We start from the raw sequence: 22,010 nt of genomic DNA, 5'->3' as shown, positions 1-22,010 counted from the left end.
ATGGCTAATGTGGGCAGGAATTGGGTATTTCCCATCCTCCAGGTCATGTAGGCTCTGATAAAACCCCAGCAGGTTAGGCTGCGGTTAAATAGTTGCTCCTGATTGACATAACTAAAAAACAATAATTTTTTCTAGTGATTCTAAGGCTGCTATTGTCTATGACCAGATATATGATATAGAAAACTCCTTTTCTATAAATAATAAACTGCCTCTTAGGTGTTTCCCATCTGCAACCTGTCCATGGTGTTAACTTTATTTACTGCCATGTATCATGTCACTGCTCATCACCTCCAGCCTTGTTGAGTCCTGTGATTTGCAGGTTTTGAATATATGCATGAAGCAAAGTGGTTGATCTGGGCTACAAGAGTGTGGGACTGAGGTAAAGTAGCTGGTTTTCTATTATCCAGATGCTAAGAGGAAGATTGGAGCTGTGGGAGGGAAGAAGATTGTGTGGGCTGACAATTGTGTTTCTTAATTCAGAAGTATCTGGGCTACATGTAGTAGAATTATTATCTCTACCAATTGGTTCTCTGTTATCCTCAGTTTTCAGTATTGCAAATTAAATAATCCACCCAGTCATCATGATCAGTTTAATAGGAAGTTGGGAAAAGTCTTATCATAGATTTATTCAGGTGATGATATTTAAATCCAGAAGAAACATTTCTTCTTTGTTCTTTAAGCTTTCTAGGATGACGTGGAGTAAAACCTTTTGCTTTTATTGACTAGTTTATTATTTCCAATTGATAATAAAGAAAGCTATTATTTATTATCTTCCTTGTCAGATTTTGAGCTATATTTTCATTTTTATTTAAACAACATTGGGCCAGGCACAGTGGCTCATGCCTGTAATCCCAGAACTTTGGGAGGCCAAGGTGGGCGGATCACCTAAGGTCAGGAGTTCGAGACCAGCCTGGTGTAACTCCGTCTCTACCAAAATACAAAAATTAGCCAGGTGTGGTGGCGCATGCCTGTATTCTCAGCTACTGGGGAAGCTGAGGCAAGAGAATCACTTGAACCCGGGAGGCGGAGGTTGCAGTGAGCCGAGATTGTGCCACTGCACTCCAGCTCGGGCAACAGAGCGAGATCTATGTCTCGAGAAAAAAAAAACAGCATTGAAAAGAGATCTTTGTTTCCTTATTTTTCAGGTAAGGAAGTGGAGGATTAAATGATTTGCCCAAAGTCTCACAGTAATTTGTAGAGCTGAGATTGAAATTCGGGTGAAACTTCACATATCACATTCTTTTTATCAGGTATGTTGAGAATATGGTTTGCTGAACACAGAAAGCAAGTAGTTATCTAGAATTATGGTCCAGTTGTGTAAAAGCTTTTATATTTTAATTATATATGACAATAATGGGCTTTTACCCTTCTTTTTGAGATGGCAGTTTCTGGATTTACTCTTGGTACCTGCATACTTCTGTTGCACATTAGTTATGTGGCTAATTATCCCAATGGAAAAGTAACACAGTCATGCCATGGAATGATTCCTGAACATGGTCATAGTCCACAGTCTGTTCCTGTTCATGACATTTACGTGAGTCAGATGACATTCAGGCCAGGAGATCAGATTGAAGGTACCGTGCTGGGATTAACTGTTTACATTTTGGATTTCACTCTTTTACTGTTTATTGAATCTTTATTATTACTTGATTTAGAAGATTTCACTTAAATCTGTTTTCTTTTGTAAGATACTATCATACTTCTTATTTTTGGTTCCAGATGACTGTATTACTTAAGTAGTCTGTGTATTCCCCATCCAGAACAGGCTTTAAAATAAGTTTTTATCGTTATTTACTATTTTTATTAATTGTGCTATCACTTCAAGAGAAGAGAAAAATGAAGTTTATTTTATCTTGTTTAAAATATAATAAACCCTTGTCCTTCTTGATATCATATAATTTTAAGAACAATTCTCTAATTTCTCTGGTAAAATGTAGGCTGATTATTAAAGATAAATCTATAACAGCATTTTGCAAACTATTTTTTGCAACTCTAGAAATGCAAAATGTTAACAGGTACTCTGTTACATAGAGAGTATATAGAAAAATAAGTTTGGAATATTCTGTGTGATATATAATATACCTTAGAGTTCACACTGTACAGTAGGATATTAAATATCCTAAGAAATTTGCAGTAAAGAAACAAGTATTTACTTTCATCCAGTGTTTTTCTTTTTTTGTAATTCAATAAGAATTTATTGAGTGTCACTGTGAGCCAGACACTGTGTTAAATACTGCAATTCAAAAGAAAACACCTCATGTTTTTTCCTCTAATGAGGTCAAGTAAACATTTTTTTTTTAAACTTTTATTTTGGGTTCAGGGGTACATGTGTAGGTTTGTTTATAGGTAAATTCCATGTCACGAGGGTTTGGTGTACAGATTATTTCATCACTCAGGTGATAAGCATAGTACCCAATTGGTATCATCTAGCATTTTCCAAACTAACTTAGCCTTATGGACTGCCCCTGGACCATCACCTATTTTTCTTTTCTCTTTGCGGAATGGCTATTAATATCTCACAGATTGAATATCTTATGGAACACTGGAAAAAATTTTATGGAAAAAGTTTAGAGCTTCTTTGCCTATAAGATGACTGTTTTCTCTCCAGGAGTACTTTTGCATATGTAGACCTCATTGTAATTGTAATGTACAACCTCTAAACATTTTTTTTTGATATTACTAAGCTTTTTAACCAACCCTTTTGTCTTTTTCTCAGTTACTTTGTCAGGGCATCCATTTAAAGGCTTTCTCCTAGAAGCGCGTAATGCTGAGGATCTGAATGGCCCTCCTATTGGCTCCTTCACATTGATTGACAGTGAAGTGTCACAACTTTTGACCTGTGAAGATATACAGGTTTGTGTTTAGAGTTGATCCTTGAACAATGTGGAGGTTACAGGTGCAGACCCCACCCCTGGGGAAATTGGAAATCTGTGTATAACTTTTGACTCCCCCCAGACTTAACTACAAATAGCCTATTGGTGACCAGAAGCCTTACTGATAACAAATAGTTGATTAACACATATTTTGTATTTATATGTGTTATATACTGTATTCTTACAATAAAGTAAGCTAGACAAGAGAAAAATCTTATTAAGAAAATAAGAGAAAATATATTTACTATTCATTAAATAGAAGTGGATTATCATAAAGGTCTTTATTCTCATTGCCTTCATGTTGAATGGGCTGAAGAGGAGAAGGAAGAGGAGTGGCTGGTCTTGCTGTCTTGGGGTGGGTGGAGGAGGTGGAAGGGGAGGCAGGAGAGGCACCACACTGGTGTAACTTTATAGAAATACATTGTAATTTCTGTCTGACTTTTTTGTTTTTTCGTTTTCTTAAAAATGTTTCTATATGGTACCAATTCTTCCCCGCTTTGCTTTAGTTTCAGTGCTATATCATAGGAGGGTCCATGTCGTAGAAGAAGGCAAAAGCATTGTTGAATAATTGGAACCCTTCTGCCAGGTTGTCTAATGTCAGTTTGTTTGCTGGGACTGCTTCTTCTCCATAGTCCTCATCGTCATCTGGCACTGGTTTGGAAACACTCACCATCAAGTTGTCTTCTGTTAATTCTTCTGTTGTGGTGTCTATTAGCTCTTGAATTTCTTGAAGATTCATGTCTTGAAACCCTTCGTCCCCCACCTTTTTTTTCCATATTCACAGTCTCTTTTATGATTCCTTGATTGGCTCTGTAAATCTTTAAAAGTCATGCACAACATCTAGATACAGTGTTTCTTCAGCAGGAATTTATTGTTTTGGGTTTGATGGCTGTCTTGGCTTTTTCTATAATAACGATAGTATCTTCAATGGTGTAATCCTTCCAGACTTTCATGATGTTCTATCAGAGTTCTCTTCCATAGCGTTGACAATCGTTTCCATCGAGTACTGTGTGTAAAGAGCCTTACATGTCCTTAAGACTTCCTGAGCTAGAGACTGAGTTAGAGACATTGTATTTGGAGGCAAGGAGGCTACTTCAGTGGCTTTGGTGTTGAGCTCATGGGGTTCTGGGTAGCAGGGGCATTGTCTAATATTGTATTAGGCTGTTCCTGTGTTGCTAAAAGAAGTGCCTAAGACTAGGTAATTTAACAAGGAAAGAGGCTTAATTGGCTCACTGTTCTGCAGGCTGTACAAGCATGGCACTGGCATCTGCTCAGCTTCTGGGGAGGCCTTAGGGAGGCCTCATGGCCTTTTACTCATGGCAGAAGCTGAAGCCGGAGCAGACACTTCACATGGTGAAAGCAACAGCAAGAGAGAGAGTTAGTGGGGGGGGAGGTGCCACATTTTACAACAACCAGATCTTGCTCACTATCTCGAGGAACAGCACCAAGCCATGAGGAATCTGCTCTCCTGACACAAACACCTCCCACCAGTTCCCACCTCCAACACTGGGGATTGCAATTTAACTTGAGAGTTGGGTGGGGACAAATATCCAAACTATATCAAATATCAATAGAACACTTATTTATTTAGAGACAGAGTCTCGCTCTGTCATCCAGGCTGGAGTGCAGTGGTGCGATCTCAGCTCACTGCAGCCTTTGCCTTCTGGGTTCAAGTGATTCTCCTGCCTCAGCCTCCTGAGTAGCTGGGATTATAGGCGCCCACCACCATGCATGGCTAATTTTTGTATTTTTAGTAGAAATGGGGTTTCATCATGTTGGCCAGGCTGGTCTCGAACTCCTGACCTCAACTGATCCTCCCGCCTCGGCCTCCCAAAGCACTGGGATTACATGCATGACCCACCGTGCCGGCCAAAAGAACCTTTAAAAGGCAGTCTTTTACTGGCAAGGTGCTTCTTGTCTTCAGAGGTAAAACGTCCATGGAGCCAATCCAGACAAAGATTTCTTATTGTCCAGGACTTCTTGTAGTTAACAACCAAAACAGTGGCAGCTGATGTTTATCTTCTCCCTTCAAGGCTCGGGGATTAGCAGCCAGCAGCTTTATAGGTAAGAGCAGTCCTGATCATAAACTGACTGCATTTGCACAAAACAGTAGAGATAGCCTGCTCTTTCTTGCCTTAAATCCTGGTGCTTGCTTCTCTTCTTTACTAATAAGTGACTTTGTGGCATTAATTTCCAAAATCGGGTACTTCTGTCTGCATTAAAAACCTGTTAAGGCAGATACACTTTCTCCTCAATGATTTTCTTTTCTTTCTTTCTTTTTTTTTTTTTTTTTTTTTTTTTTTTGAGACGGAGTCTCCCTCTGTCGCCCAGGCTGGAGTGCAGTGGCCTGATCTCAACTCACTGCAAGCTCCGCCTCCCGGGTTCACGCCATTCTCCTGCCTCAGCCTCCCGAGTAGGTGGGACTACAGGCGCCCGCCACAACGCCCGGCTAATTTTTTGTATTATTATTATTATTGTTATTATTTTTGGACGGAGTTTCACTCTTGTTGCCCAGGCTGGAGTGCAATGAAGGGATCTTGGCTCACCGCAGCCTCCGCCTCCTGGGTTCAAGCGATTATCCTGCTTCAGCCTCCTGAGTAGCAGGGATTACAGGCATGTGCCACCACGCCCGGCTAATTTTGTATTTTTAGTAGAGATGGGGTTTCTCCATGTTAGTCAGGCTGGTCTTGAACACCCGACCTCAGGTGATCCGCCCGCCTTGGCCTCCCAAAGTGCTGGGATTACAGGTATGAGCCACTGCGCCCGGCCTTTTGTATTTTTAGTAGAGATGGGGTTTCACCGTGTTAGCCGGGATGGTATCTTCAATGATTTTCTTAATGACGCCTGGGAACTTGCCTGTTGCCTCTTGGTCAATAGAAGCTGCTTCTCTTGTTATCTTGACATTTTAAAAGCCAAACTTTTATTCTAAATTATCAAACTATCCTTTGCTGGTATTAAATTCTCCAGCTTTAGACCCTTCACCTTCCATTTGCTTTACGTTGTCATATAATGACTTTGCTTTTTCTTGAATAATATTAGTCTATAAGTATCCCTTTCTTACAGCAATTCTTACACCTGCATAAAAGCTGCATTTCCGATATGAGATGAAAAGGTCTTTCACAAAAAATGTGAGGTTTTTGCATCTGTTGGCATAGCTGCAGTGACAGCTTTACGAATTTTCTTTTCTTTTCTTTCTTTTTTTTTTTTTTACAATCGTTCTTATACTGGATTCATTTATCTTGATATGGCGGGCAACTGCAGCAGCAGACCTTAATCTACAGTATATATCAAGCAATTCAGCTTTTTCTTGTAATGTCATGAGTTTTCTCTGCTTCTTGAGAACTCTTACCGCATCACTAGTGGCACTTCGTATGGGCCCCATGGTGTTATTCAAGGTTTACAGTAGTGCACAAAACACGATAAAAGCTGGGTGCAGTGGCTCATCCCTCTAATCCCAGTACTTTGGGAGGCTGAGGCTGGTGGATTGCTTGAGCTCAGGAGTTTGAGACCAGACTGGGAAACATGGCGAAACCCCGTCTCTACAAAACAATACAAAAATTAGCTGAGTGTGGTGGCATGTGCTTGTAGTCCCAACTACAGTTAATTTTATGCAGTTATGATTTAATACTGCATTTTTACATTTGTTTATATGTCTCTGTGAATGGCACATGTGTGGTCTGTTTGTGTATGTATGTTTTGATAAATTTTAACTTTTTGTGATAGGTGTGTGCATATTTTATGGTAGTAAATGATAAAATAGACTAATACCTATATATTTTGTGCATTTAAGGCATACCTAACTTTTTAATTTTTTCAATATTTCTAGCCTATGCAGTTTGTCTGAGTTTTTTCAAATTGTTGAAAACCTCCAAACGCTTTTCTAATATATATATTGAAAAAAAATCTGTATATAAGTGGACCTATGCACTTCAAACCTGTGTTGTTCAAGGGTCAACTGTAGTTTGAAATTGCTCTCTGTCAGTTTTTTTTGGGGTTCTTTTCACTATAAGGTGGTGGTTGCAAGATAAATGATGACATTAACCATGTATTGTAAACATCTAAATGGATTTACAACAATCAGACTTTTTCCTTAATTTTATGTGCAATATGTTTTTACACATCAGCACCCTATAAAAGGTAAAGTAGTTTGAAGAATTTATAGCTTGTGATGTTTTATATGAATATTGGCTCTTAATTATATTAATTTTTGAAGGGTTTTAATATTGAAGACAGAGATCTAGAGTATGACAGGAGTCTAATTTTTTTTTCATTTATTTACTCATTCATCCATTTATTTTTACACCAAAAATGGTCCTGAATGGGAGGGATAGGTGATGGACAAGACTTACTCTTGCTCCTTGAAGAACTCCTTACTTTACATATAAGCACATCTATGAACACATAAGTAGAACCGTGTGATAACTTTGGTTAGAAGCATACACAGTGAGTGGGAAGCATAGCAGAGAGAGCCACACACAGCCTGGAAGGAATTGGGAGAGAGCTTCTTGGAGGAGGTGAACTTCAAGTAAGGCCTCAAAGAATGAGTAGGAGTTGGCCAGGTGCATGAAAGTGGGAAACAAGATTGTTCTGGAGAAAGGAATGACTAAAATATCATGCTACGTATTTGAAGGCAGGAAATTTTTCTCTTTCGAAGAATCTTCTGCATTCTATTTGTATCTATTAATGGAAGAGATATAAATTTATAATGTACATGAAACAATGAGCAAGCTCTATCTAGTGTTAACGTACCCAGTGTTCACAGCTCTCTTCAGTTCTTAGATTTCTGTGGACTCTCATTTATTCACAGAGCCAGCTGCTAATATGTTCTCAACCAATCAACATTTCATTTATGGAGTGCCTGAGTCCTTCTTCTAAATAAAATAGTCTTCACCAGAATGCTAATGTCATGCAATGATAAATTACTTCGCAAAATGATAGAAGTTCCAGCCATGCTGAGCTATTGAGTGACTGAATGGTAGCTCTTTTCCCTTTTATTTCAGGGATCAGCAGTGAGTCACAGAAGTGCATCTAAAAAAACAGAAATTAAAGTCTACTGGAATGCTCCAAGCAGTGCTCCAAATCACACACAGTTTCTGTGAGTATAAGAGTTTATAATTCTGGGCCAGGCATGGTGGCTCATGCCTATAATCCCAGCACTTTGGGATGCCAAGGTGGTGGATCACTTGAGCCCAGGATTTTGAGACTGGCCTGGGCAACATGGTGAAACCCCATCTCTAAAAAAAGGAAAAAAAAGTTTACAACTCTGTAACTACTAGTATAATTGAAACCATAATTAGTCTGTATCATTTTCTGTACCTATTGGACATTCACACATGTAGGAGAGCTTTGGTATAGTAATAACACAACCTTCCTGATGTAGGAGTTTGTTTTGCTTTTTACCAGTGTATACCTATCACCTAGCACAGGACCTGTCACAAAATACACATTTAATAGACATTTGTTAAGTGAATGAAGTCTTGTACTGCCTTAATCCTAATAAGAGCTATCAATTAATACTTGAGTCTTTATGTTATATAATACTACTTTTAGATTGGCTCCTGTATTAGCATGAGAATACAAATGAAAGTCTTGAAATTTGGATGACTCTTACTCTTTTGCAGTATTACAACTTGCAGATTAGACTCTCAGAAAGACTGCATGCCTCTCAAATTATGAAACTCAGTAGAATTAAAACAGAACTTCTTCCTTATCCTACATACAAGGGGAAATGGAATGTTATAATGCCATCTAATGATTCCTGAGGGGTGATATGGACATATATTTTAAGGGAAGGATTGCTATCCTGACATGACTGTTTTCTTCACTTTGTGCGTGGGTCCCCAACACACAGTAACACAACTCTGCACTGGTATGTTAGATGGAATGTGAAAAAGGGGGTGTGACCCCAGTGAAAGCTGATGGTTACTGATGCAGCCTCTATTATAGCTTGTTGCTGTTGTTGCTTGCTACACATGCCCTTTGGAAGAATTGAATACTGCACTCTGAAATGACTTGTAGTATGTTCTTCATATGCCAGGAAGTAGAAATCTGTGCAGTTTTGTCCCTGGGTCTGACATCATGGCTATTGTGAATATGCCCCCAAAACAGACAAATAAGGAAAGAGGGACAGAGGGAGAGAAAGCAATAAAAATTTGTCAAGTGATCGGGTGGGAGAGAGTGGTTAGAGATTTGCCTCAGGCAAAATTAATAGTCCTGTTAGGTAGTAAGTCATGTTTTTCTAGTTTAGTCTTTCTTTTTTTTTTCCTTTAACGTTTTGATCTGATTGTGACAGGACACAATTAGGGTTCTAATCTCACTGGTATTGCATTTCAGAGTCACAGTTGTTGAGAAGTATAAAATCTACTGGGTGAAGATTCCTGGTCCTATAATTTCACAACCAAATGCATTTCCTTTTACAACACCTAAAGCTACAGTAGTACCTTTGCCAACGTTACCTCCCGTTTCCCACTTAACCAAACCAGTAAGTAACAATTTTATTTTCTCTGTAGAGATGGGGTTTCACCATGTTGCCCAGGCCGGTCTCGAACTCCTGAGCTCAAGTGATCCTCCTGCCTTGGAGTCACAAAGTGCTTGGAATTACAGGTGTGAGCCACTGTGCCCAGCTTTAGTAACATTTTTATAGCTTCATTAAATGTAATCTAAATAATATGTGGCCAAATATAATGTCCATATATTATAAAATACAGAAGAGAAGGTAAACAAAATAAGACATTACATAGGAGTAAAGTGCTGTACTTAGTTTTCTCTATGTGAGCAAACAGGTAAATTTGTGATTGGAAATTGTGGTTCTGTGTATTTTGTGTGGCAAAGTGCATAGAGAAGTAGCTGTGCTGGGTAGTGGTAGCACGTTTTGGAGTCCTCTGTAGGAATCTGAAGGAAGCCTTCATTGCAACCTTATGACTTACAGGTTAGAATGAAGGGAATGCAAGACCCTGCATGTTCAAGGTTTGGTCATGACATTCACCTGTAGTCTTTACTGGTGGTGGATATGTTTTCATTTGAAAATAAATCTGATGAAGCAATAGTTTTTTTTTCTTTCTTTTAAACACAGCCAGATATCAAAAGAAGAGCTTAAGTTAAATTTAGACAAGATTTGGAGGAGATTCTTGAAATGGTGATAATAACTCTTAGATCTCATTTCATTAAGGTCAGAGAGTCCTAGGGAATTGTATATGCTGAACAACAGAAAATGTCTTGTAAATTCATCAGTTAGAATTTCATCTAGGCCCTCTGATTTAAAAGATTTATGATTGACAAGACGTATCTTGGAAAGTGTTATGCATATTAGAAACATAAGGAAGAAGGGTTTTACTGCAGGAAATTCTGATAAGTTAGACTTCTCAATTCAGAAGTGGATACAATAAAAAAAAAACGTGTTGAGAAAGGTTGTTTCAGTTGAAAGAACAAACGTGGGCCTAAATACTGACTTGCCTAATTTTCGTGTGTCTTTGGGCAAATTACTTAATTTTCAGTCTCAGTTTCCTCACCTATAGAAAGAGATGTAATAATATTTAGCTCTTAGTATCACTGTAAGAATTAAAATAATGAATGTAAGTTTTCTATAACTGTGTCTTGCATTTAATAGATATTCAGTAAACATTAGTTCCTTTTCTTTTTCCTTCTTTTTATTATCCTTCTGTACCTTTTTATTCACATAGAGAAGACAAAGTAATGCGCTTTGCTCCTTATTTTGTTTTCCTTCTCTTCAACGTCTTATAGCATATGGGCACTATATTTGATTACATTATTATGATTGTTGCACTTTCGTTTGACCATACAATTAGATCTGTTATTTGTACTAGCTCTCAGTTTAGGCTTAATCCTTATTTAATTAAAAGCTGCTTTAGGGAAATACACAGTCAGTTTGGACCTGAGCTTCCCAGTAGGAATCTGTTGACAATATTGTTGTCTTTCCGTATATTCAATCAAAGGCTCTTGTTGGAACTTTTATTGTGTCTTTGTGCCATGTTTATAATCTCTAATTATAGGGAGGTTCATTCAGAGTCAAAGGTTTATAGCATTTTTAGAGCTCGAAGATACCTCAGGGTCTATTTCTTACAGTTTTCTTGTTGTGTAGTTGAAGGTTCAGGGATCCTGAGAGAACAAGTCCTTTGGCAAACATGATGTAGGGAAGGGGAGAGCAGAGACCAAAGTCCAAGTTTCTTAATTCCCCAGTGGCTTGTTCTCTTCACCCTAGTATGATCTGTCTTTACATTTCCATGAACTCTAGTTACATAATGTTTAGCTCTCTTCTGAAATTTACTGTCACAGCATTCGAACAAAGTCTGCTCATTTATCAGATTATACAGCTGATTTTTTTTTCTAAGACTCTTCGTCTTATATTCCTTATCAAGAAGCTCGGGATTAAGTCATCCGATTGTTGCTTATTTCTCCCCCCAATAAATCACTATGGTTATTTGGAATGCTGGTAAATTGGGGCGACCATTTTTTTCTTATGTCATTTTAGTACGAAATTTGAATCAGAATTCTAGAAGCAGAATCCACAACCTAAATATAATAGCTTTCTAAGTATTTATTTGTTTGCTTTTTAAATCTTCATCTCTGAGAACTAGAGGATACCCTTTAGGCAGGAACGTTAGTGTCATTTAAGTCTTAGGGACTGAAATATTAACTCAAAAATTTCTCAAAACCTATCAGAAACTTTGCTCCAAAACTTACTTAATGTGAAATGTTTTGTGTATTACAGGAGCTTTAATACCCTTGCACAATTACAGCCCAACAAGTGTATGTTTTCCAAATTTTAATTAAAATTAATTAAGTTTAAAAGTTCATAACCTAACTACTGCTCCGATCATTTTTAATTTGGGATGTGTCTTTTGTTTCCTTATTTGAATGCTTATTATGGAAAGGTATTCTCATTAATTTGGGAGCTACCCGTACTTGAAGGTAGTTATTCTTCTGTCATTGCCAATGAACTGCTTGTTTGATAATTAAGATTTTTTTTTCCTCTGTCATTTTTCTAGTTCAGTGCCTCAGATTGTGGGAACAAGAAGTTCTGTATTAGGAGTCCTTTGAACTGTGACCCAGAGAAGGAGGCTTCCTGTGTCTTCTTGTCCTTCACAAGAGATGACCAATCGGTGATGGTTGAAATGAGCGGCCCCAGTAAAGGCTATTTATCCTTTGCATTGTCTCATGATCAGTGGATGGTTGGTACCTCTCACTTACATAAGTGGTAACAAAAGGAGAATCACGGCTAGGCATGGTGGCTCATGCCTGTAATCCCAGCACTTTGGGAGGCCGAGGCAGGTGGATCACGAGGTCGGGAGTTCAAGACCAGCCTGGCCGAGATGGTGAAACCCCACCTCTACTAAAAATACAAAAATTAGCCTAGCGTCGTGGCGGGCGCTTGTAATCCCGGCTGCACGGGAGGCTGAGGCAGGAGAATCACTTGAACCTGGGAGGTGGAGGTTGCAGTGAGCCAAGATTGTGCCACTGCACTCCAGCCTGGGCGACAGAGTGAGACTCCATCTAAAAAAACCCCCCCAAAACAAACAAACAAAAAACCAAAAGGAGAATCATTGAAACTGTTTGTTCCAGGGTCAAATGATCATCCAGGAGAAGCTAACTTAGAACAGATTCTAAGTTAAACGGCTTTGAGTACTGTATGATTTTAACAGTTGGGCAATTACTTCCAAGAACAGGCTGTCCTAAGGAAAGTTTGGAAGATCATTTTATTTCCAGTGTATTTGCCATTTTATGTCTGTCTGTCTCTTTGCGATAAAGCAGGAAATACAGTTAAGAAAAGTTGTTCTGCATAAAATGTCATGTTTTTTGTAATGCTTTTCAAACCAGAATTGTTTATTCAAGTGGCCAGAACTAAAACATGTGTTCCTGCTCTTTTGTCCTATTTTAGTAGTCATCAGTGCCTTTCCTAAAAAGAGAATTAAACTTGTATATCCAGGCAGCATGTATTACAGTAGGCTCCTTTGTCAAATCAGCAGAAGGCAGCATTTATTTTAAGCCGATTCTCACTCATCCTGGGTAGTGCTGAAATGGATTAAATGATTCTGTAGGTGGCAGCCTTGTGCTGTGGTGTGGAAGAGCAGAGGCCTGCATAAACATCTCGCTTTCCTAGGGAGCAGGAAGAGTATTGTGGCCAGGACGTGTATAAGTCCTGTTCAAGCAGAGTGGGCCTTGGGGCATAGGGATGACCAGAAATGGAGAAAGCCCCTTATTAGCACAGGCGTTCTTGTCTTGAGGGTTTTCTTCTTATCAGGATTTAAACTTAACACCACTTCTTTAGGGAATCATATTTCAGAAAAAGAAAAGGAACTCTGACATGGCTGTAATAGAAAAACTAATGCTCGTCCTGAAAGTGCACTTGATCACATTGGTCCTGGAGCAGTGTTTGCAAGTATTGTAAGACGCTGGATGTAACTAACTTTCTTTTTTTTTTTTAATTGTCCTAATTCTTTTTTTTATTCTTTTTTATTTTTATTTTATTTATTTTTATTTTATTATTAGTACACTTTAAGTTTTAGGGTACATGTGCACAATGTGCAGGTTTGTTACATATGTATACATGTGCCATGTTGGTGTGCTGCACCCATTAACTGGTCATTTAACATTAGGTATATCTCCTAATGCTATCCCTCCCCACTCTCCCCACCCCACAACAGTCCCCGGAGTGTGATGTCCCCCTTCCTGTGTCCATGTGTTCTCATTGTTCAATTCCCACTTATGAGTGAGAACATGCGGTGTTTGGTTTTTTGTCCTTGCGATAGTTTGCTGAGAATGATGTAGGATACCATTTCAGTATGTATATATGACCTACATATTTCACTAGACACCTCTAGAATGCACTTCTATCTTCTTTCATTAAACAAAAGATATACCTTAAGTCTATGAGATACAAAAGATACCATGTACTTAAAAAAATAACATATAAGAAATAATGAATCCTTCCCCTTCCAAGTTGCTTGTATAGGAAATTTTATACTTGCTCAGCTGATGCGCTGATTGTTCAAAACATCTTCCCCACTTCCTTTTGTGATTGCCATCAGACCTGTAGCATATTCTTTTGGATATTCTTAGTGTTGGCAAAAATGAACAATGTTTAGTGTATAAGGTGAATGAGGTTGAGTTGAAAATAAAATGTGACTATAAAGCAATAATGATAGGTGGTGGTAGTGCTGCTGTCATGTGAATGTGATAAAACTGGCTAGAAAGGAAATTCTGAAAATGAGTCCAAAAAGGATTAACCTGTTGAATGAATGTATAGTTTCATTAAGGTTCATCTCTGAGTTACAGCACTCATTTAGATATATGCTCTAGCCACTTAAAAAAAAATCCAACTTATTCCAGTCACTTTATAGCCAAGATTCATGCTATAGTATACGGATACATTTCCTTTTACTGGTTACGTAAAACCTGTAAGCAAGAGGGAAAGACTGTTACTGCATTCAGTATGGTAATGAGTAGCCCACAGGTAGGTCAGTTATTCTGTTCTAAATTGTAGGCATTGATGGCACAAAAGCATTTCTCTCTAATTCAAGATATATTTATCTTACTTAGAAATCTTATCTGTTTCCAGTATAGTACTCCTCAAAAATGTTTACAAAAAAGGCTTAATTACGCAGGTGCAGTTGATTTACAGAGAAATCCTGTTTAATGATTAAAATAATCTGTACACCTGTTTGACTAACTTGGGGGAAATGAATCATCCTCAAAATATATTTTTAAGTGGTTATTTCTATTTTTGGTTATTACTTTTAAAACTTTCAGGTATTTTTGTGACCTGCTATTTCTTTGGAGTGTATAATGTAAATTTAAATACTGAAGGTATCTGATGTCACGAATACTCATTCGATAACCTAAATTATACCCCTTTTTCAATTTGGCTTGTAAATTAATGTTAGCAATTATTTTGGTATGTTAGACCTCATCACTAAAATCAAAATGTGTAATTTACCCTATTTCTGATAATAATGACTTGCTAATGTGTGAATTTTAACTGAATTTCCAAGTACAATAAGTCCTCACTTCATGTCGTCAATAGGTTCTTGGAGCCTCTGACTTTAAGTGAGGCTACATACAGCAGTTCCTTGAATAATATCATTTCCTTCAATATCGTTTTGTTATGACATTGATGAGGAAAGAATATTGGCCATGTTGTATGTTGTTTTGCTTAAAGTCACAATTTTCAAGAACTTACCTATGAGTTTAAGTGAAGATGTACTGTACATACCTCTTTCCTATTTGAGATATTTTGTTAAATAATGTAAAGTCTATCAAGTATGCGCATTAGCTTCCTTCCTTCTCCTTCCACTGCGCTGTATCATCTTATTCCATACATGATCTCTCCATGCCCCAATTCCAGGATGTCCCCAATCCTGAACTCCCTTGGACTCCAGACTGTGATTTCCAGCTGCAGGCTGGTCTCGTCCAGATGTGTGTTCCTGGACAGCACAAAGCAACATCTAAAAGACTGAACTTTTTATTATGCCCCCTGATGTCTCCTTGTCTTCCCCATTCTTGGTGATCAGCAATGTTAGGAAAGCACCTACCATTGTTGATGGCTTGTTTCTTGTTGGGTACTGTCCTAGGCAATTTATAAACACATCAGTTACTGCTGCCAGCATCTTTTTTGGTATTCAGAGAAATGTTGGTTTTGACTTGGATTCCTTCCTTTCATCCATCTTTCAGGTCCTTCCTTCTGCCATTTCCAATTTTTTGTTTTGAAAAGTTTTAAACCTCAATAAAAGTTAAAAAGATAGTACAGTGAACACCCATAAGCCCTTCACCTAGATTTGCCACTTTATCTTTCTATTTCTATCTACCTAAGTTGATTTTTGTGGTGTATATAAATACATATTTTTTTCTTGAATTATTTGAAAGTAAATTACAGATAGTCATGACATTTCATCTCTAAGGTTTTCAACATGTGTCTTCTAAGAACATGGACATTCTCCTACAATTACCACAATATTTTTATCACATTAAGAAAATTTAACGTTAATTTTATGTAACAGACGATCTGTATTCCAATTTTCCCAGCTGTCCCAATAAAGTCCTTTGTTTTATAAAAATATTTCTTATTCAGGATCCAATCAGTTATTACTCAGGGCATTTGGTTGTTACATCTCTTGGATCTCCTTTACTTTAGAACAGTTACTTAATCCTTTTTCTTTTTTATAAATTAAATTCAGGCCAGTTATTTGTAGAATATTCTACAATTTATATAATAGATTTATGTTAAGACTTTTTGGCACAAATGCTATGTAAGGGATATTATTTCCACATCAGTGCATTATTTCAAAAGTTTCATAATGTCCAATTGTTCTATTATTGATGATGCTATGTTTGATCACTGGTGTCTGTCAGATTTCTGTATCATGAAGTCTGTTTTCTTTTTGTAATAAGTAATATGTGGGATGATACTTTGAGTCTGTATGAATAATCTGTTCCCCAATAGCCTGTAACTAGGTTTTTGCATTTATTGATGTTTCTCCTATGAATCAATTGTTACATTTGTGGTTGCAAAATGGTGATCTTCTAACTTACTTATTAGCTGGCATTCTTATGAAAATACGAGTTTTCTTTCCTCTGCACTTGCCTTTCCCTTTTATATAACACTGTGGACTAATGGGTTTCTTTTGTCCATTGTGTTGTAGTTTATTACCACCATTCATTCTTTCACAGGGTCATACTGACGCCAATTCGGCCAATGGGAGCCCTTTCAAGCAGGCTTCTGTGCCCTTTTGATGTGTCTCCACCACTTTTGAGCATGTCTTTGTTTCTGGTGTAACAAGATGTTCTCCATTCATACTTTCATGCATTTCATCATTTCTCAAAAGAGCTTTATTTCCTTTTAGTAGGAATAGATCTAGAAATCAAGATTTGGGTGCTAATATGTTCACTGCTACTGATCTCCAGGTACTTCTGATTCTATCTTTGACGTACCTCTTTCATTCTCTTTGTTGCATTGTCACTATCTCTGACTTGGCTTGTAGTTTTACTGTCTGCTTCCTGGACTGCTGTAGTAACCCGCCATTAGTCCTCTTGCTTCCATGATTTCCTCTTTCATTTCATCCTTCACACAGCCATTGGAATTTTCTCCCCAAGCCACATTTAAGATCGTCTTGGCTGGGCGTGGTGGCTCATGCCTATAATCCCAGCACTTTGGGAGTCTGTGGTGGGAGGATTGCTTGAGCCCAGGAATTCAAGATGAGCCTGGGAACACATGGCGAGACCCTCATCTCTACAAAAAATTCATAAAAAATTAGCTGGGCGTAGTGGCATGCAGCTGTGGTTCCAGATACCTGGGAGGCTGAGGTGGGAGGATCACTTGATCCCAGGAGGTCAAAGCTGCAGTGAGCTGTATTTGCACCACTGCATTCCAGCCTAGGTGACAGAACAAGATCCTGCCTCAAAAAAAAAAAAAAAAATTGTCTCAAAAATATCCCTCCAAACCTTTGGCAAAACTTTAGTAATTATAGAATTATATAATAATTATAGAAAAACTGTTCTTTTCTTAAAGCATGGTGCTCAATACTTTGGGAATACTTCTAGAATTTTCAGCCTTAGAGCTCTCTTTTTATCCTTTATATATTTTAGCTAGCAAAACTACCTGTTTCTTAAAATTTTCATATTTCTATATCATTGGTCCTAGAAGTCCTTCAACTTGGAAAATCTTTCCTTTAATCTCATCTTTACCTTGTCCTCCTATAAATATGTTTTATCTTCTAAGGTCTGCTTAATTACTGTCTTTTCTGATAAGCCATTTTCAATTCTCTGGCCATACATAATTTGTCTTTTCATGTCACTTTACCTATCTGTCTGGCTCAATAAAATATAGCTTTAGGTTATAAGAGCCATATTCTTATAATAAAGTCATTTTTGTTTCTCCCACAGTGTCCAGCTTAATGTTCTCTCATAGGATGCTCTCTAAATGCTTGACTTGAGAGGGGCAAACTGGGGAGAGAGCTTCAGTACAACCCAGGGATTTGGTGGAAGTTCTTATAGGGTGTACTTTTATGCTTTCAAACTTGAGGTTTCTAGAACTGCCTGGAGCCTGAGGTTGGAGTAGCACGTTCACTTACTCTTCATTTGGAATAGTGAGAACTGAGAGTTACCTGCTGTCTATCCCCATCATCTTCTCTAATATTTGGGAGGTCTACTTGTATTGATTTTATTTGACTTCTCATCCTCAGTTTGCCTCAAATCAACCATTATTTGTATTAAAATTTTTTGTGTAACAAAAGAATTTCTATGTCTCATTCATGATGGATATTATAGAAAACATGCATTGTTTAAATCAGGGTTCAGGCCCAGCATGGTGGCTTACACCTGTAGTCTCATCACTTTGGGTGGCTGAGGCAGGAGGATTGCTTAAGCCCAAGATTTCAAGACCAGCCTGGGCAACAGGGCGAGAATCCATCTCTACTTTTTTAAAAAATAAAAAATAAATCGGGGTTCAAAAAACGTTTTCTGTAAGGACCAGGTAGTAACTATTTTAGAGTTCGTGGGCAATATGGTCTCTGTTGTAGCTACTAAACTCTGTTGTAGTATAAAAGCAGCCATAGATGATATGTACATGAATAAATGTGGCTGTGTTCCAATGAAACATGGACATTGAATTTCAGTTTGATTTATTTTCATTTGTCATGAAACATTCTTTTCACCACCTAAGTATGTAGAAGTCATTCTTAAACTATGAGCTATATAGAAACAAGCTTTAGGTTGAATTTGATTTGCTGGCCATGGTTTGTTGACTCCTGGTTTAAGTCATGATTGCTCCAAATTTCTTATCTGGAATTGGGCTAATTCTGATTTTACTGTAATATGTGTAACAGTACATAATTACTTTGCTAAGAGTACATCCTTGAGAGTTTTTAAAAGTGGAACATTTAAAAATAAAGTTGAATCTGAAACTATAGAAGTATGTTAGAATCTAATATTGGAATTTATAGCAAGATTTGTTATAACTGGGTAGTCTTGGACCTTGTTTAAGGAATTGGGTGACTAAAGCACATAAAGAACCTTGTTAGATAGTTTATGGAGAAACCAAGTGAAAGACCAAACCATGGATAATAACTTAAAATCAAGATTATTCCTTTGTGCCATTGTTTAAATGTACTTTGAAGTTACAGTCTGCTTCTTTTTTGGTATTCTTTTTCATTCTTTTTCCCCCTATTAATTGACAGTCTGCTTTTTGATTATCACTTTATTTTATTCTGTTTTATTTCTCTTTTTTGGAGGCAAGGTCTCCCTCAGTTGCCCAGGCTGGTGTGCAGTGGCACGATCATGCCACACTGCAGACTTGACCTCCTGGGCTCAAGTGATTCTCCTGCCTTAGCCTTCTGAGTAGCTGGGACCACAGGCATGCATCACCATGCTTGGCTGATTTTTTTTTTTTTTTTTTTTGAGACTGAGTTTCGCTCTGTTGCCCAGGCTGGAGTGCAGTGGCGCGATCTCGGCTCACTGCCAGCTCCACCTCCCGGGTTCACGCCATTCTCCTGCCTCAGCCTCCTGAGTAGCTGGGACTACAGGCGCCCACTACCATGCCCAGCTAATTTTTTGTATTTTTAGTAGAGACGGGGTTTCACCATGTTAGCCAGGATGGTCTGGATCTCCTGACCTCGTGATCTGCCCGCCTTGGCCTCCCAAAGTGCTGGGACTACAGGCGTGAGCCACCTCGCCCGGCCCGCTTGGCTGATTTTTAAAAAATTTTTTTTAGGATGAAGTCTCACCATATTGCCCAGGCTGATCTCAAACTCCTGGCTTCAAGCAATCCTCCTGCCTTGGCCTCCCAAAGTGCTAGAATTATGGGTGTGAGTCACTGTGTCTGGCTTGATTATCACTTTAAAGAATAAGATCTAACTTTCAGAGTTAAGGATCTTTGGAGACTAAAGGATAGATAAGAGGTAGATTGTTTGACTAATTCCTCCTTGAGTGCAGGTATTTTTGCCTCAGTTATATAACATTAAATCTATTGAATATGTACACTATGTAGCAATATTTCTTTACAGTGTCTTCCATCTTAGAAGTTACCAAAAAATATCCAGTACAATGCAGTGTATTTGGTCATTAAAATATGTAGGATATAGATATTTATTAATAAATAAATATCTGGAGTATTGTTTATGGTAAGTTAATTGAAAAAAGGTAACAGAACTCTATATTTTCCCATTTGGGAAGGAAAAAATAGGTATAATACAAATAGGTTTGGATGAATATACATGAAAATATTAAAGTGGTGTTCGATTAGTGATGGGTTTATGAACATATAAACATGTTATATATCTATCTTAATCTATTATTTTACACTGAAATTCTAGTGCTTTTGTATTATAACAAAATTATTTGCTATTCGCAAATCAGATAGCCAGTTCTCTAGAATTCATAGCATCATTCATGATTCAGTAAATTATGTTTTCAAAGCATCACATAATATTTGGTTTCCTGATGTACTTTTTTAAAAAGAGAAAATAAAATGCTGAAATTCCTTTGAGCTTTTTTTCTCATTTGCAATTGTTTTTCAGGGTGATGATGATGCTTATCTGTGTATTCATGAAGATCAGACTGTGTACATCCAGCCTTCCCATTTAACGGGGCGAAGTCACCCTGTAATGGACTCCAGGGTAGGTGTGAAAATTCTGAGAACCTCCACCTGGAGACCCGCTTTCCGGCTGTGTGGCTATCACTGGCGTGGCTGTGCTGCTAGATTGCCTCCAACCCCCACAGTTCCACCTAGCCTGAGCAGGGGCCTGCCAGCAGGGCTCCTCTCATAATGATTTCTGAGAAACTTTTCTACACTTCAGAAGTTTCTGTTGTAGGAAAAGATGAATTCTTGCTTGTGTCACTTACATCCTTTTGGTTGTATCCTACAAAAAAGTACTTTATGGTTTATTAAGATGGTCAGGGCATCAGCTTCCTTTCAAAAGCTTACAGACGGGTTTCTAAGACAGGATGACATTAGTGACAAAATTTCTTGACTAGTGAGAAAGAGGAGCACATTTGATGAAGGCTGGAGATGCCTTGGACAGTTGTCTTAAGTGCCCTTTGTTGGCATGTGTGTCAAAGGTGGGCTATTTCTGGTAGAGAAGTGTCTTTTTTGCAGGACAGTTGACAAGCAAATGAGCTCTGAAAGAGCAGTAGCTATCACTTAATGACAGCAAATGAGCTCTGACGGAGCAGTAGCTATTACTTAATGACATAACTGTGCACAGCCTTCCCATGGGATTGACTCCCAAGGCTGGCTTGGAACTTCTCCCCAGTTGCATGTTGCATTTTGGCCACTAGGGTAGTACTTGTTAATTGTTTATTTCAATGTTTTTGATTGTATACTAGTGGCCAGATGGAGTTAGTACATCTGTTAAAATTTCTAACCTAGGTAGAGGAATTGTGGAGTTCTGGCTCAAAGTAAAAATAATATTTTTTCTTTTTGCCAAGTGGGATAAAGACAAATAAACTGGGAGAAAATGTTTCTTGTTCTCTTCAAAGAGGAAGTGGAAAAACAATGACACTGCAGACAAAGCATGGACATACGATCTTAGAGAAAGGAAACTGAACAGGGCAGGATTTTGATCATATCTTATTTTTAGCAAATCTTTGGAAAGTGCTGAGAAGACCCATTGTGTGTGTTTGTAGGATACCCTTGAGGATATGGCTTGGAGGTTGGCGGACGGTGTTATGCAGTGTTCTTTCAGAAGAAACATTACCCTTCCTGGAGTTAAGAATAGATTTGATCTAAACACAAGCTATTACATATTTCTAGCAGATGGTGCAGCTAATGATGGTAAGTATATTGTTAAGCTGTCTTTTCAAGTGTCTTTTTCTCTCTTCTTCCCTCTCTTTCCCCCATTTTTGGAAAAACTACTGTAATTGCCCGTTTTTAAGGCACACGCTTTCCTATAAATGTCAAATTTTGCCAGAAACTGGATAAAGGTAGAAAAATTTTGCTGGAAACTAGATAGAGGTAGAGTGTCCCTTGTGTTATAAGGCAACACGGCTCAAGACAAAAATGGCTTCTGATTAGTAAAATGCATGTGACCAGAAGAACTATAAATACCTAATAAGAAGCCACGTATTTGGGCTTCCCTGAGTGTAGTGATAGTAGATTAACATTGCAGGGGACCTAGAAGCAGTGACTTT

At 38.0% G+C, this 22,010-nt stretch overlaps 1 protein-coding gene across 8 annotated transcripts in view, besides 1 other annotated feature; it reads left to right on the top strand.

Annotated features, from left to right (window-relative positions):
* Positions 1-22,010, top strand: part of FRRS1 (ferric chelate reductase 1) — a 62,666-nt gene that overhangs the window by 16,489 nt on the left and 24,167 nt on the right. For 7 of the 8 annotated variants that reach the window (XR_946655.2, NM_001361041.2, XM_047420239.1 and 4 more), the window contains exons 2-9: positions 1,146-1,250; positions 1,379-1,574; positions 2,717-2,853; positions 7,874-7,968; positions 9,207-9,354; positions 11,879-12,061; positions 20,399-20,497; positions 21,507-21,654. Coding sequence is in view for 7 of the 8 variants with exons in the window: in NM_001361041.2 (NP_001347970.1) it covers positions 1,379-1,574; positions 2,717-2,853; positions 7,874-7,968; positions 9,207-9,354; positions 11,879-12,061; positions 20,399-20,497; positions 21,507-21,654 (1,006 nt within the window). In the remaining variant the exon portion in view is untranslated. The remainder of the gene's footprint in view (positions 1-1,145; positions 1,251-1,378; positions 1,575-2,716; positions 2,854-7,873; positions 7,969-9,206; positions 9,355-11,878; positions 12,062-20,398; positions 20,498-21,506; positions 21,655-22,010) is intronic. The other variant, XM_017001271.2, reaches the window with a different exon arrangement.
* Positions 4,740-5,034: a silencer, noted in NCBI's record as "tiled region #5706; K562 Repressive DNase matched - State 14:Gen5'". NCBI's record gives its function as "represses a minimal TATA promoter and a strong SV40 promoter by Sharpr-MPRA in K562 cells {active_cell/tissue: K562}" and the evidence as "EXISTENCE:reporter gene assay evidence [ECO:0000049][PMID:27701403]".

Source organism: Homo sapiens, chromosome 1 (genome assembly GCF_000001405.40).
Source record: "Homo sapiens chromosome 1, GRCh38.p14 Primary Assembly".
In the NCBI taxonomy this organism is placed as follows: domain Eukaryota; kingdom Metazoa; phylum Chordata; class Mammalia; order Primates; family Hominidae; genus Homo; species Homo sapiens.
Note: the sequence above shows the minus strand (reverse complement) of the source record. Positions and strands in the feature narration are given on the sequence as shown.